Raw genomic sequence first — 16,272 nt, 5'->3', positions numbered from 1 at the left:
TGGGACCCCCACTCCACGACACCCAGCCTGTCTCCCCTGCCCCACTCAGCACTGTCCAGCCACTCAACTGGATCCTGGCACTGAGGGCTGATCCCTCACCCCCCACACTCAGGGGTTCTGCTTCACCTGATGAAGGGCCAACAGGATCCCAACTCTACTCTTCAGAACTTCTGAGGGAGGGCTTTCTCAGATCCGCTCCCATCCTGGTCCCTGGCCACAGTACCACATGTTCATGGGCTCTTCCTAGGTCCCATCACTGGGACCCGAGTGTGAAGGACTCTGACGGGGCTGTGCGGGGGGGTGGGAGGAGGAAGGTAGGACCACATCCTGGATGCCTACCAGCTGTCCCAGCACTCATGTCAATTCCTTCATTGATCACTACAGCTGCTCTCACCTCACCCTGGCTCCCCCAGGGAAGACCCTGGCACCTACACTGCCCTCAGGAAAACAGAGAGCTGGAGAGCACCCCAGCGCCCTCCCAGAGGGTGACAAATGGCAAAAGCTAAGAGGCCACTGTGTTGTGGTGTCACGCCCCTGGGAATGCAGTATGCCCTCCCTGACCTAGGGGTTCTCCCATCAAGGTCCTGCCCCTCTATCTACGAGTTGGGCAAAGATAACTGGAAGGAAGGCAGCTATGCTGATTGCCAAGGAGTCTCGGAGGTGCCCCTGCTCTTCCTACAAACATTTAGCTGGGGATTCCTTCTCTGATGGGTACTTGGGACATGAAGACAAAGTCTGACCTGGTTCCTTTCCCCTGGATCGTGGGCTACTCTTAGTAACTCACTTCTAATGAGCAGAATAATGGTGTATGACCTCTGGAATTAGGACATAAAAAGCACCTGGACTTCTCCTTGTGCATGCCCTCTCTCTGTCTCCCTGTCTCCCTCTCTCTCCCTCCCCTCCTCACCCCCTCAGATCACTCTGGAAGAAGCCAGCTGCCATGTTGTGAAGATCCTCAAGCAGCTCTGTGGAGAGCCCCCCAAAGTGGGCAGCTGAGACCTCCTGCCAATGGCACGTGAGGGAGCATCTTGGAAGTGGATCCTCCAGCCCCAGCCAACCCTTCTGATGTCTGCAGCCCTGACAGCTTGAGCACAGCCCCGTCAGAGACCCCAAGCCAGAGCCACCTACCTAAGACATTCCTGGGTTCCTGGCCCACAGAAACTGTGAGATTATAAATGTTGATTATTTTAAGTCACTTAATTTTGGGGTTATTTGTTTCACACAAATAGATAACTAATATAGATAGCATCATATAGATAACATCACCACTGGGCTGTATAAACAGTAGGGCGTCAAGAGATGACTTGTTGGTTGGAGCCCCTAAAAACCCAGGTGGATGTGCTCAAAATTCTGCTCTCTCACATGAAAAGCCCCAGAAATCGAGGAGTACCTAACAGGCCATTCTGCTTCTGAGAGAAGATCAGAAAACTCATCCTATATCCCTTTACACGTTGGCTACCAGGAAGCTCATGGCTTAGAGTGTTACTCAAACATGGGACCTGTATTAGTGTTAAGTTTGGAGATGCTTATTCCCCCACCCCTACACAACTTTTCCATTGTTCTGTACCTACTTTAAATATCTAGTTATATGAGCCCTTTAAGATAAACTATACTACATCCTTTTGTGACAAAGGTAGGCATAAATAAAAAATAAATGAATGAATAAAGGGAGGAAATGAAGGAAGAAATGAAATAAAAGGAATTAATGAATTTATTAATTAATAGGCATAGAGAGGCAGGATGAGAAGCCCCCACCCCATACCTGCATTGACTCCCACGAGCAGTCTTCCCAGCATGATCATCTCAAAGGAGCCTGCTTTGCGGCTGAATCCAAACAGGATTGCTGCTGACACCACAAAGATGTTATTCACCAGGAGGGACTTCTTCCTTGGGGGAAGTGAAACACACAGAAAGAGAGGCTGTGATTCAGTCCAGCGGGACCATCCCTGGGGACCACTCTTTGCAACTGTAACAAGCCTTAATTAGACACACACACAAATGTATGTAGTATGCCATTAACTACTTTGAGTCCTGGTATCCTTGCTGTCAAATGAGATGAGAGCTCCTACACTTACACGTCTGTTGTAACACATAATTTTTAAAATATCTGTAAAAATTGGGCTGGGCATGGTGGCTCATGCCTTTAATCCCAACACTTTGGGAGGTTGAAGCGGGCAGATCACCTGATCCCAGGAGACCAGGCAGGTCAACATGATGAAACCCTATCTCTACAAAAAATACAAAAAAAATTAGGCTGGGCGCGGTGGCTCACGCCTGTAATCCCAGCACTTTGGGATGCTGAGGTGGGTGGATCACCTAAGGTCAGGAGTTTGAGACCAGCTTGACCAACATGGAGAAACCCTGTCTCTACTAAAAAAAATACAAAATTAGCCAGGCATGGTGGCACATGCCTGTAATCCCAGCTACTCGAGACTGAGGCAGGAGAGTCGCTTGAACCCGAGAGGTAGAGGTTGTGGTGAGCCAAGATTGCGCCATTGCACTCCAGCCTGGGCAACAAGAGCAAAATTCCATCTCAAAAAAAAAAAAAAATTAGCCATGCATGATGGCGCACGCCTGTAATTTCAGCTACTCAGGAGGCTGAGGTGGGAGGATTGCTAGAGCCCAAGAGTACGAGGCTGCAGTGAGCCATGATCACGCCACTGCACTCCAGCCTCGGTGACAGAGTGAGACCCTGTCTCAACAGCAACAATGAAGGTACTAATATGTAATTTCTCAGATTCAATAAAACTCCAGGGAGGAAGAACAGGGACTTTAAGAGTGAAGGAAGAGACGTATAGATAGTCAAGTAGAGTTTCCTTATATTTTCCTCCATGTATTACAGAGTCACTTCTCACAACTCAGAATGGCTGTATATCTCAATGCCTTGGTCAATGGGACAGACACCAACCCAAGGAGGGGACATTGGAAATGTCACCTGCTCCATCATGATGAAGCATTAGCTTTGGCTCCTCATATTGAGCTCAGAAGTGCTGCCATACAGATCACCCAGGAGAGCTCACTGTGATCATATAGCTCACTGTACTGAGAGGGAAACTGAAGACCAGAAGTGGCCAGTGTTCTGCTCAAAGTCACCAGCACATTGGTGATAAAATATGAGCCAAAGCTTAGGTCTCTTGTGTCTAGAGAATGAAAAATGACAGTAGATTATAACAAACTCGATCCAGTGGTAACTCCAATTGTAACTAATAATTATAATTACAATAATATACATTTTCCTCACTGGAATTAATAAATCCATTAATAATAATTAAGTACTTCAATCTAGTGAGTGCATTTTGCTCCATTTCAATACACAGACATTGCCAAAAACACTTAGCATTCACCTTGCTGGAACAGTCATATACCTCCTCCGATCTGCCTTAAGTATATAGCAGCAGCTGGGTGCAGCAGCTCACGCCTATAATCCCAGCATTTTTGGAGGCTGAGGTGGGGGGATCACGAGGTCAGAAGTTCGAGACCAGCCTGGCCAACATGGTGAAACCCCATCTCTACTAAAAATACAAAAATTAGCCAGGCATGGTGGCAGGCACCTGTAATCCCAGGTAGTGGGGAGGCTGAGGCAGGAGAATCGCTTGAACCCGTCTAATAAATAAATAATAAATAAATTCAAGGTCTTGCACTGTGCTCCCCCCACCATGCTACACACACGCGTGCACACACACACACACACACACACACACGTGTCTGTAATCAGTAGCTTGAGGGGGCCGAGGCGGGTGGATCACCTGAGGTCAGGGGTTCGGGACCAGCCTGACCAACATAGTGAAACCCCGTCTCTACTAAAAATACAAAATTTAGCAGGGCGTGGTGGCACGTGCCTGTAATCCCAGCTACTCAGGAGGCTGAGGCAGGAGAATCTCTTGAACCCGGGAGGCGGAGGTTGCAGTGAGCCGAGATCATGCCATTGCACTCTAGCCTGGGTGATAGAGCGAGACTCCGTCGCAAAAAAAATAAAAAGGATATAGCAGCTGCCCAGCTGCAGGCCACAGTCCATTCCACAGGGAGCTGTGCATCCCACAGGACATGCTGCTGTCCCACTATTTTGATGAGTTCACACAGAAAGGACCTGGAGAAGAGGAAGCAGCAAGTGCACTAGAAGTCTTGGTAAGGCACAGTGTGACAAAGAGTAGAAGATTAATAACGAGATAGGGGGCTGCCACTCCAACGAAGTTCCTGAGGTCTAGAGGACTAAGAGGTGGCAGCGTATTTTCTCCAAAGTGCATGACAAATTGCTGCACCTTGGTCCCCTTCCTCTAAGAAGGAGGGACAAACCTCTGAGAGCTTCTTTCCATTTTGGAGGCAGCAGAATACCACATCAGGTGTCGTGACCTGGCACATTTATCAGGTGACTTGAAAACCTGGTAGCTTTGAGTGGTGCTAAGCAAGAGAAGTATATTCTCTAGTGGGTCGAAGCCAAATTCACATCGCAGAGTACTAGCAACTATACATGATCGTGGCCCCAAGCCAAGTTCAAAGAGCTCTGCCACTCAACCCTTTAGCTTTAGGAGAGCCTGTGGTGCTCAAAGTGGCAGTTAAAATACCCTAAAAGGGGATCACAATGCAAAACCAAAGCTTTTTAAGTTGAGCTACTCTCCTTCAGCAAATTACTATCCATATACATATATATATATATATTCAGAGATAGGGTCTCACTATGTCACCTAGGCTTGAGTGCAGTGGTGCTATAACAGCTCACTGCAGCCTCGACCTCCCAGGCTCAAGTGATCCTCCCACCTCAGACTCTTTAGTAGCTGGGACCATAGGTGTGTGCCACGATGCCCAGCTAATTTTTTCTATTTTTTGTTTTTTTGTAGAGATGGGGTTCTGCTATGTTGCCCAGGCTAGTCTCAAACTCCTGGGCTCAAGAGATCCTCTTGCCTTGGCCTCCTAAAGTGCTGGAATTATAAGCATGAGCCACCATGCCCAGCCTGCTAACCTCTTAAGGAGAAAGAGCTCCTGGCCTTGTCACTAGGCCCTAGTGGGGAATAAACACCAGGCTGCGGGATGCCACAGGGCCATGTACTCATCATAACTGGGTGCTGTATGACACCCTCCTACTAAGGTTGAGTGTCCCCTGCAGCACTCCATCACTGAATAGAAGTGGTATAAACCAAACTTGCCCAATGTGGACCCCAAAGTTTCCCATGAATAGGTCACTCACATCAGCTTGGACCCAAAAGGTAATGAAGGACTTAAACTTATCCTATAGACAGATTTTTTAGCATGGGCTTTTTTTTTTTTGAGACAGAGTCTTGCTCTGTCACCCAGGCTGGAGTGCGGTGGCATGATCTCGGCTCACCGCAAGCTCCGCCTCCCAGGTTCACGCCATTCTCCTGCCTCAGTCTGCCGAGTAGCTGGGACTACAGGCACCCGCCACCATGCCCGGCTAATTATTTTGTATTTTTTTAGTAGAGATGGGGTTTCACCATGTTAGCCAGGATGGTCTCGATCTCCTGACCTCCTGATCCGCCCGCCTCGGTCTCCCAAAGTGCTGGGATTACAGGCGTGAGCCACCGTTCCTGGTCTAGCATGGACTTCTTTTGCCTCTTTTCCTTTCCTTTTTTTTTTTTTTTTGAGATGGAGTCTCACTCTTGTCTACCAGGCTGGAGTGCAGTGGCACAATCTTGGCTCACTGCAACCTCTGCCTCCTGGGTTCAGGTGATTCTCCTGCCTCAGCCTGCCGAGTAGCTGGGATTACAGGCGTCTCCACCACCATGCCCGTCTAATTTTTGTAGTTTTAGTAGAGATGGGGTTTCACCATGTTGGCCAGGCTGGTCTTGAACTCCTGACCTCAGGTGATCCCCCCGCCTCAGTCTACCAAAGTGCTGGGATTACAGGCAGGAGCCACTGCACCCGGCCTGTCCCTTTTTCAAAAGATTTGGTTGGACAAAAAGTCTTAGATGAAGCAGAATTTGAAGACTGGTTTCAAGGAGGTACGGGGAAACACTAAGTGGGTGAATCTTTTAAAATTAGCCCAGAACCTGAAAATATAGCTGGGCGCGGTGGCTCACGCCTGTAATCCCGGCACTTTGGGAGGCTGAGGTGGGTGAATCACCTGAGGTCAGGAGTTCGAGACCAGCCTGACCAACATGGAGAAACCCCATCTCTACTAAAAATACAAAATTAGCCAGGCGTGCTGGTGGGCGCCTGTAATTCCAACTACTCGGGAGGCTGAGGCAGGAAAATCACTGGAACCCGGGAGGCGGAGGTTGCGGTGAGCCGAGATCACGCCATTGCACTCCAGCCTGGGCAACAAGAGCGAAACTCCGTCTCAAAAAAAATAAAAAATAAAAAATAAAAAATAAAATAAAATTAGCCCAGAACGTGAAAATATACATAAATATATTTCTGCTTATCAGAAGCCCCCTCCCACTACAAAGAGGCTCTTCATAAGCAGATGGACAATATGACCCTCTATCTGTAGATGGCATTCAACTGCCTTCCTTGACCATCCCGGTGCTTACTCAGTTGGGTGATAAACAAAGCAAATAGGGTAGCAAGGACAGAAAATGCACATGGGCTGAACAATAGGGGCTTCCTGTCACCAAGATGGTTGTGTTCCCCTACACAACCAACCCTGAGCACCCAACAATGGCAACACATTTCAGAGCTCCAGTCAGCTGCTGAATGGAAGAACTACATCCCCCTGTCCTGGGGAGGGGAACAGACATTTGCTTTAATTACAATAGGCATACATGCTAAACTTGAATTTTTAATTTCTTCCTTTCATGCTTATGCCAACTGTACCAGGTATCATGAGATAGCCGCGCAATAGTTATTACCTCCGTCTTCTTCGTGGGAAGAGCCCCACTTTTGTTTGCGACTGTTCCCCTACTCCCCACGGTGCAGATATGAGCCCAGTGGTCTAATCCAGTCTTGCTGATCCAGTGCTGGTGCTATGGTTTGAAGGTTTGTGTCTCTTCCAAAATTCAGGTTGAAATTTAATTTCCAATGCAACGGTATTTAGAGGTGGGCCTTTGGGAGATTGATTAGGCCATGAGAACTCCACCTTCATTGATGGGACTAGTGCTTTATAAAAGGGCTGGAGGGAACTAGGCAGGCTCTTTTTGCCTTTTGCCCTTTTGTCTTTCACCATATGAGGACACAGCATTCGCCCTTTCTGCCATGTGAGGACACAGGGACAAGGCACCATCTTGGAAGCAGAAAGAGTAGCCCTCACGGTACACTGCATCTGCTGGGTGCCTTGATCTTGGACTTCACAGCCTCCAGAACTGTGAGAAAGTAAATTTCTGTTCTTTATACATTATCCAGTCTCAGTTATTTTGTTATGGCAACAAAAATAGACTAAGATTGCTAGTAAGCGAGCTGTTTTGAGACAGGGGCTCACTGTGTCATCCAGGCTGGAGTACAGTGGCACAATCAAGGCTCACTGCAGCCTCGATCTCCTGGGCTCAGGTGATCTTCCTGCCGCAACCTCCCGAGTAGCTGAGTCTACAGGCATGCACCACCATAACTGGTTAATTTTTTTTTTTTTGAGATGGAGTCTTGTTCTGTTGCCCAGGCTGGAGTGCAGTGGTATGATCTTGGCTCACTGCAACCTCTGCCTTGCGGGGTCAAGCGATTCTCCTGCCTCAGCCTCCCGAGTAGCCAGGACTACAGGCGTGTGCCACCACGCCCTGCTAATTTTTGTATGTTTAGTAGAGATAGGTTTTCACCATGTTGGTCAGGCTGGTCTCAAGCTCCTGACCTTAGGTGATCCACCCGCCTCAGCCTCTCAAAGTGCTGGGATTACGGGCATGAGCCACTGCACCCAGCCCATTCCTAGCTAATTTTTTGTAGAGATGGGGTCTCACCATATTGCCCAGACTGTTCTCAAACTCCTGGACCCATGCAATCTGCCCCGCTCAGCCTCCCAAAATGCTGGGATTATGTGGGTGAGCCACCATGCCTCACCAGGCCTGGCTTCTAAGAACTTCTTTCATGCTATGAGCTGCCCCACTATCCTTCCAGCTATTACATTTTTGATTCTGTTATCAGAGTCAGTTTGTATTCTTTGAAATCCAAGAACTGCATTAGATATGCAGGAGGAGAGTGAGGCCCAGGAAGAAAATAACTTGTTTAAGGTCAGTTAGCACTTGTTGGCAGACATGAAATTAGAAACCAGGAGTCCTCCCTCTCTTGTAGCACAGGACTGTTTGCTCTACCAAACCCTTGAAGACGTGTCTTGCAAGGTGAAACTCCAGGCAGAGTAAGAGGCTGGATGAGGAGCTGATCTGGGCCTGGAGCTTGCCGGGCCTCTTCCTTCTTCCACATTCCTCAGCCTGCAGGCTGCAGCGCTCCTCATTAAAGGGCATTCAGGGGGTATGCAGGAAGCACTTACCTTCCCAGCGTGATGGCCAAGGGACCTGCAAGCAGTGCTCCAAAGAGGCCTCCCAGGGGATACAGAGACACGATGAGGGACCACATAAGCAGGACTAGGTGATCGGGCAGTGGCTCTCCAGTACGCGCCTGCCATGTCTCATTGGTGAATTCCTGAATGTGCTGTGGACAGAAATGCCAGTCAGCCTTCTGGGGATGGTGGCGTGGGGGTGCTAGATGAAACAAGCCTTCTCCCCAACAGGGCTCCATGCCTCTGCAGAACAGGCAATGACAACAGGCACCGTGTCTTCTGAGCTCCCCCTGGAGCAGGAACCAACTCGCCTGAGCACCTCCCTTGTGCAGGGCACCATGCTGGTTCTTTCATGGGCAATATCTCTCAGAGCCTAGCACTGGACTCGCTCCATTTGCCCCTCTCTGCGAAAACACTATTTCTCTCTACTCACACAATACTCCTGACAGCAAATGTGTGGATATTTTCCCACATCAAGCAATTCTCTAACTCTCCGGACACAAGCTGGGTGTACTACAATGTAATCCCATTCTGACACTATCCACCTGGAGTTAGCATCAAATCCCACAAGTCAAAGGGCTCCATTCCACAAGACTGTCCCCTCTTCAGATGCCAAGTGCAACTCCTGCACTTCTGACCAACTGGCCATCAATTGGGGATTCCTAGGATCCTTTCTGTGGGTTTGATAATTTGCAACAATGGCTCACGAAACTCAGGAAGGCCCTTTACTTACATTTACTGGTTTGTTATGAAGGATACAACTCATGAATAGCCAGATGGGAAAGATGCACTGGGCCTGATCCTGGGAGAGTAGGTTGCTAGAGGCTTCCATGTCCCCTCCAGGAGCACCACCTTCCCAGCACCTCAATGTGTTCATGAACCTGGAAGCTCATCAAATCTTGTCATTCAAGAGTTTTTATAGACCTTAATCTTCAGCTCCTCTCCCTTTCCTAGAGCTCCGTGAGTGGGGCTGAACATTCGGACCCTCTAATCTCTTGGTCTTTTTGGTGACCAGCTCCATCCTGAGGCAATCTAGTGGCCCTACCCTGTCATCTCATTACCATAAGCGCAGGTATGATGAAATGGGGCTCATTGCAAATAACAAAAGATGCTCCTATCACTCAAGAAATTCCGTGGCCAGGCACGGTGGCTCACACCTGTAATCACAGCACTTTGGGAGGCCGAGATGGGCGTATCACCTCAGGTCAGGAATTCAAGACCAGCCTGGCCAACATGGTGAAACCTCATCTCTACTAAAAATACAAAAAAAAAAAAATTAGCCAGGTGTGATGGCAGGCACCTGTAATCCCAGCTACTTGGGAGGCTGAGGCAGAAGAATTGCTTGAACCCGGGAGGTGGAGGTTGCAGTGAGCCAAGATTGCACCATTGCACTCCAGTGACAAGAGCAAAACTACGTCTGAAAAAAAAAAAATTCCAAGAGTTTTAGGAGCTCTGTGCCTGGAACCAAGGACAAAGATCTATTATATTTCTTATTATACCATACCCGAGGAATCCACTGCAGTCCCCTCCCACCCTGCTTTTGCCCCAGGGAGCCACCTGTGCAGCCCACATCAGTAGGCTCCCTTACTGACCAACTTGGCCAATGGTGAGCACCAGCAGGACATCAGGAGGCAGGAGAGAGAAGTAGGAGTGTCTGTTCCCTGGCTCCCTCCCTGGGAGGTTGCCTCAGCCTGGCTGCGATCCTCTCAAGGGGACCTATGTCTCTTTCCTTCCAATTTCAGTAATCTCTCCATCCACTGGTCATAGCTCAGAGCAGCCTCCAGCTCCTGGGCTCAAGCGACCCTCCTGCCTCAGCCTCCTGAGTAGCTGAAACTAACAGGCACATACCAGCATGCCAGGCTAATTTTTAAATTTTTTTGTAGAGACAGGGTCTCACTATGTTGCCCAGGCTGTTCTCCAATTCCTGGCCTCAAGCAATCCTCCTGCTTCAGCCTCCCAAAGCACCGGGATTACAGACATGAGCAACCATGCCCAGCCTTGGTCACTGTCAAGACTGGGGATTAGGCTCAGGGAGAGGTGAAATGACTTGCTCACAGCGTTAGCCACAGGTCAGAGTTGTACCAGGTAGTTTGGACTCCCCAGACTCCAAACCTCAGGTGAGTGAAGGGAAGCCACATGGTTAGGAAAGACATGAGGAAGACATGGACACCCTTCTCTTGGTTAGAGATGAAATGTCATTTGCAGGTCTCCTGACAGAACAGAACACAAGGGAGAGCAGCGGGTTCAGGTGCTGGGCCAGCTCTCCCCTGCCCAGCTCAGGGCAATGACTGTCAGCCTAGTGCCCACCAGCTGCCTCTCGGGGGAGGAACTGTCCACAGGAGCTGGGACCAGGGCCAGCCTCCCCTGACATTGGGTGGAACTCCTCAAGAGTGACCATTGACAAAGATTCTCCTCAGAGTTTTCTAAGCTCTTTTTTCCTTTTTTCTTTCTTTTTTTTTTTTTAAAGATAGTGTCTCCCTCTGTTGTCCAGGCTAGAGTGCAGTGGCATGATCATAGCTCACTGTAGCCTCGAACTCCTGGGCTCGAGCCATCCTCCAACCTCAGCCTCACAGATCCCTACAACTACAGGCCCATGCCATTGTGCCCTGTTGCATTTTTTTTACTTTTTTGTAGATACTGGGTCTCACTGTGTTGCTTAGGCTGGTCTCAAACTCCGGGGCTCAAGCAATCCTCCCACCTCGGCCTCTCAAAGTGTTCGGATTAGAAGCATGGACCACTGCACCCGGCCTTCTGAGCTCTTTTTCAACTAGGTCTCAACTTTTGGACTTCTGTGTTCATCTCTGCCTTGTTCAATTTTAGCAAGTATCGTGCTAAGTTGGTTTAGCTAGAATCCTCATCCTCCACATCTGATCACTCTCAAAATCTAATCGGCCTCCTTATCCTCTGCCATCCTCCATGATGTCTAGTTACCCTGGCCTGCCCTCAACAAGAATCCTGTTAGGACAATTTAACCAGAATCCCCCACAAATGCCTGATGATCCTCTTAGTCATTGTGCACCCGCTGACCCCACTCTGCTCCTTGGCTATCAGTTCTCACTTGCCCATTGCTGTATTTGAAGTTGAGTCCAACCTTTCTGCCTCAGGGCAGGACCCCATTGCCACGGTCCCTACAACTAGTGCTTGCCACCTCTTGAATAAAGTCTTCATTACTGTGCTTTGACAAGTGTCATTGAATAGTTTTTTGTTTTTGTTTTTGAGATGGAGTTTTGCTCTTGTTGCCCAGGCTGGAGTGCAATGATGCAATCTTGGCTCACTGCAACCTCTGCTTCCCAGGTTCAAGCAATTCTCCTGCCTCAGCCTCCCAAGTAGCTGCGATTATAGGCATGCGCCACCATGCTTGGTTAATTTTGTATTTTTAGTAGAGACGGGGTTTCTCCATGTTGGTCACGCTGGTCTTGAACTCCCGACCTCAGGGGATCCACCTGCCTCAGACTCCCAAAGTGCTGGGATTACAGGCGTGAGCCACTGCGCCCAGTTTTGTTTTCTGGTTTTTTTTTTTTTTTTTTTGAGAGGGAGTCTCCCTGTCGCCCAGGCTGGAGCACAGTGGCGAGATCTCAGCTCACTGCAACTTCCGCTTCCTGGGTTCAAGCAATTTTCCTGCCTCAGCCTCTGGAGGAGCTGGGATCACGGCACATGCCACCATGCCCAGCTAATATTTCTATTTTTAGTGGAGACAGGGTTTAATCATGTTGGCCAGGCTGGTCTCAAACTCCTGACCTCAAATGATCCGCCTGCCTCAGCCTCTCAAAGTGCTGGGATTACAGGCATGAGCCACCACGCCCAGCCTGAATAACTTTTTCTTTAACAATTAGAACTTAACACCATTCAGCAGGGTAGGGGAAGCCTCTGAGCCTAGGAAAGTCTCCTTCGTAGGGGCTGGTGATGGCTGTGGGAGGTAAGGTCTGAGAGTGCCCTGCCCGGCCTGGGATGGACCCCTCTCTAGTCTGAGTGTGCACTGAAGTGGGTGCTCAAATGCTTGATGAATTAATGAATAAATAAACCAATGCATCACCCCTGTAATCCCAGCACTTTGGGAGTCCAAGGCAGGCGGATCGCCTGAGGTCAGGAGTTTGAGACCAGCCTGGCTAACATGGTGAAACCCCATTTCTACTACAAATACAAAAAATTAGCCAGGCGTGGTGGTGGGCGCCTGTAATCCCAGCTACTCGGGAGGCTGAGGCAGAATCGCTTGAACCCAGGAGGTGGAGGTTGCAGTGAGCCAAGATCACGCCATCGCACTCCAGCTTGGGCAACAAGAGCAAAACTCTGTCTCAGAAAATAAATAAATAAAAAATAAACCAACGCAGCCAGCTCAGATCTCCCTTTCTAAACTCTCATCCTTTCTTTAAGAGGCTGGGCTGCTATCATTCTTTCTATCCCCACCTCTATCTTCTGCTAGCAAATATTACTTTGGAGGAAGTTCTCTCGATGGTCAACTACAGCCCTTGGTTCCCCATAAAGGTGATCACCTGGCCCAGATCTGGCCAATCTGAGCATCCCAGCCTCCTGACCACATTACTGGTCTGGGAGTGGACATGTAATCCAAACCAGCCCCTCAGGCTCTTCCCTGCCTTTCTACATGAGCTAACCTGGAAGACTTTTGTTGGTGGGGTGAGTTCTCAGCTGGCAGGAAGTGAATCTGGTGACAGCAGCTCCCCATCTGGGTATGAAAACAAGGCCAAGCTGGGCACGGTGGCTCATGCCTGTAATCCTAGAACTTCAAGAGGCCGAGGTGGGCGGACCACTTCAGCTCAGGAGTTTGAGACCAGCCTGGGCAACATGATGAGACCCCATCTCTACTAAAAAATACAAATAAAATAGCTGGGCTTTGTTGTACATGCCTGTGGTCCCAATTATTTGGGAGGCTGAGGTAGGAGGATCGCTTGAGCGCCTGAGCTCGGGACGGGGCGGAGGTTGCAGTGAACCGAAATTGCACCACTGCACTCCAGCCTGGGTGAGAGAGCAAGACTCTGTCCCAAAAAAAAAAAAAAAAAAAAAAAAAACCAGAGAGAGAGAAAAAACAGGGGCAGGACAGCCACAGTTCTGTCCTGGGGCCTGGTTCCTGCAGCTCTCCCTCAGTGCTGTGTGAAGCCCCACATCCCATCATTCCCAGTTACATGATTAGGTACTTGCCCTTCTTACTTAAGCAAGTTAGAGGTGGGCTTCTATCACTGGGGCTGAAAGACCTATCCTTTCCACAGACACTCACAGAACATTGGCTCGGGCCAGGCTACCATCAAGGGCCAGAGATTCAAAGATGACTCAGATGCTGAGAGCAAACCAGCAGGAGAGAGGAGATGGACACAAAACAGCCCTCACACAGCCTAAGAGAGGACAGCCTGCACCAAGGGCTGGAGAGGCAAAAAGGTTTCAAGAAGGTGGTGGTATCTGGGGTGGGCTTCTACAGGTGGAAGAGAGAGGGCCCCTCCGTGGAAGGAGGCTTAGAGGAAGGGCTGTGTCATAGGTATTTGAGGAACTATACTTAACTTGCTTTGGTATCAGGGTTGGGGGAGCGAAGGTGTGAGACAGTGAAACCGAGGGGTTCATTTGGTCAGGTCTGCCTGCCCTGCTTGCTTTTTAAAATTTCTTCTTCCTTTTTCCATGAAGCTGAGGCCGTGATAGCTCAAGGCTTCACCGCTGAACACGGAAACTTAATCTCCACTGGCTACTTTATAAATAACATTGATGAGACCGGGCACGGTGTCTCATGCCTATAATCCCAGTACTTTGGGAGGCTGAGGCAGGCGGATCACATGAGGTTGGGAGTTTGAGACCAGCCTGACCAACAGGGAGAAACCCCGTCTCTACTAAAAATACAAAATTAGCTGGGCATGGTGGCACATGCCTGCAATCCCAGCTACTCGGGAGGCTGAGGCAGGAGAATCGCTTGAACCTGGTAGGCGGAGGTTGTGGTGAGCCAAGATCATGCCATTGCACTCCAGCCTGGGCAACAAGAGCGAAACTCCATCTCGAAAAAAAAAAAAAATTTCTGAGCAGGGGAGTGACTTGAAGAGATCAAGGTGGGGAGAGGCTGAAGGCAAGGAGGCCAGTGAGGAGGCTGGGCCAGAACTGGGAATGTGGTGGAAACATGGGGAGAAGTGGCTGGATTCCAGAGGTAGTTAGGAAGGACTTAGTGTCCAAGAGATGAAGAGAAGAGTCAAGGCTGACCCCCCATCACTAGGTGGAAGATGGAGTCATCTGCTGAGATTAGGGACTCAGGAGGACATGCAGGTTTGGGGAAGATGTATGCTCAGTTTGAACCTGCAGGAACCTGTGGGCCAACCCAATGGAGACAAACTTGTGGCAGAAAGTGCCACCTAGTGGATGCCTGGCTGAAGCCCCTCAGTGGGCAGCTGTTAGCCAGTACCCACTCAGACAGGGACAGTCTCCACCCAGAGAGGATACATACCAAGGTCGGGGCATTGATGATAGAGAGGTTATAGCCAAACTGAAAAGTCCCACCAATGCCGGCAGCGCAGATGGTCAGGAGCAGGATCCTGCCCTGAATCTGAGGAGAGAGGAGAGAACACAGAGTGACCAACAACAGCCTCCACCCCCTCCCTGGACCAGAGCTGCCAATCACAGCATTGCAATTTATTTGAATCAGGCAGTGATGTCTCCACTTTGCAGATGAGGAAAGTGAGGCACAGAGAGGAGTTACCTGGGTCACATGGCTGGCAGGTAGCAGAGGAACCCAAGCCTCCTGTTCTGAGTCCAGGACCCCACTTTACCCTCACCCCACCCATAGCCCCAACATTTCCCTGAGCTGGAGAGCGGTTCCCATCCCTCCTTGTTGGGCTGCCCCTGAGCACGTCTGCTGTGTTTGGGGAAGACAGTCCCCTGAGCTGGGGCCCCAGTAGAGTAAGGCTCTGCCTCCAGCAGGACAGGAGCCTCTGACTTGCCCCAGGAAAACCTTCTCCAACAGAGTGGCCAGGCTCCAGGAATCTGGGCTGAGCCACCTCTCTTACCTCCCACCAGCATGTTCTGCAATGAGGCTAAGAGAAGATGCCACATGGACCTGCAGGTGCAAGGACTTGGGGACATATGAGTAGTAGAGAGGCAGCATAAATGGCCCAGGTGCCTGGTCCCTATCCCAGCTCTCCCCTTCCTTTCTCATCCTAAGTGACTTCCTTACCTGGACCTGCAGATAATGAAGCCTACTTCTAGGCTGGGTACCCATGAGTCATGCACACTTGGTACACAAAAGGACAGTGAAACACCCTTAGAGATGGAGGGAGAATTCCCCAAGGCATCCCTGATGCCTCATCCTTTGTAGTTGGGATAGTTGGGATTTTCTTTTTTTTTTTTTTTTTTTTTTTTTGAGACTGAGTCTTGGCCTGGCGCAGTGGCTCACACCTGTAATCCCAGCACTTTGGGAGGCCGAGGCGGGTGGATCACAATGTCAGAAGTTTAAGACCAACCTGGCCAAGATGGTGAAACCCCATCTCTACTAAAAACACAAAAATTGGCCGGGCGCAGTGGCTCATGCCTGTAATCCCAGCACTTTGGGAGGCCGAGGCGGGCGGATCACGAGGTCAGGAGATTGAGACCATCCTGGCTAACACGGTGAAATCCCGCCTCTACTAAAAATACAAAAAATTAGCCAGGCGTGGTGGCGGGCACCTGTAGACCCAGCTACTGGGGAGGCTGAGGCAGGAGAATGGTGTGAACCCGGGAGGCGGAGCTAGCAGTGAGCCGAGATAGCGCCACTGCACTCCAGCCTGGGCGACAGAGCGAGACTCCGTCTCAAAAAAAAAAAAAAATTAGCTGGGCGTGTTGGCAGGCGTCTGTAATCCCAGCTACTCGGGAGGCTGAGGCAGAGAACTGCTTGAACCCAGGAGGTGGAGGTTGAGTGAGACTCCGTCTCAAAAAAAAAAAAG

The 16,272-nt window shown here is 49.8% G+C and overlaps 1 protein-coding gene across 6 annotated transcripts in view; it reads right to left on the bottom strand.

The window, feature by feature from the left end:
* SLC2A11 (solute carrier family 2 member 11) overlaps positions 1 to 16,272 on the bottom strand; it is a 29,379-nt gene that overhangs the window by 9,309 nt on the left and 3,798 nt on the right. For 5 of the 6 annotated variants that reach the window (NR_104248.2, NM_030807.5, NM_001024938.4 and 2 more), the window contains 3 exons: positions 14,802 to 14,900; positions 8,363 to 8,523; positions 1,763 to 1,887 (listed from right to left, as the gene is read on the bottom strand). Coding sequence is in view for 4 of the 6 variants with exons in the window: in NM_030807.5 (NP_110434.3) it covers positions 1,763 to 1,887; positions 8,363 to 8,523; positions 14,802 to 14,900 (385 nt within the window). In the remaining 2 variants the exon portion in view is untranslated. The remainder of the gene's footprint in view (positions 1 to 1,762; positions 1,888 to 8,362; positions 8,524 to 14,801; positions 14,901 to 16,272) is intronic. The other variant, NR_104247.2, reaches the window with a different exon arrangement.

This window comes from Homo sapiens, chromosome 22, assembly GCF_000001405.40.
Source record: "Homo sapiens chromosome 22, GRCh38.p14 Primary Assembly".
Lineage (NCBI taxonomy): Eukaryota > Metazoa > Chordata > Mammalia > Primates > Hominidae > Homo > Homo sapiens.
This window is presented reverse-complemented; position numbering and strand designations above follow the sequence as displayed.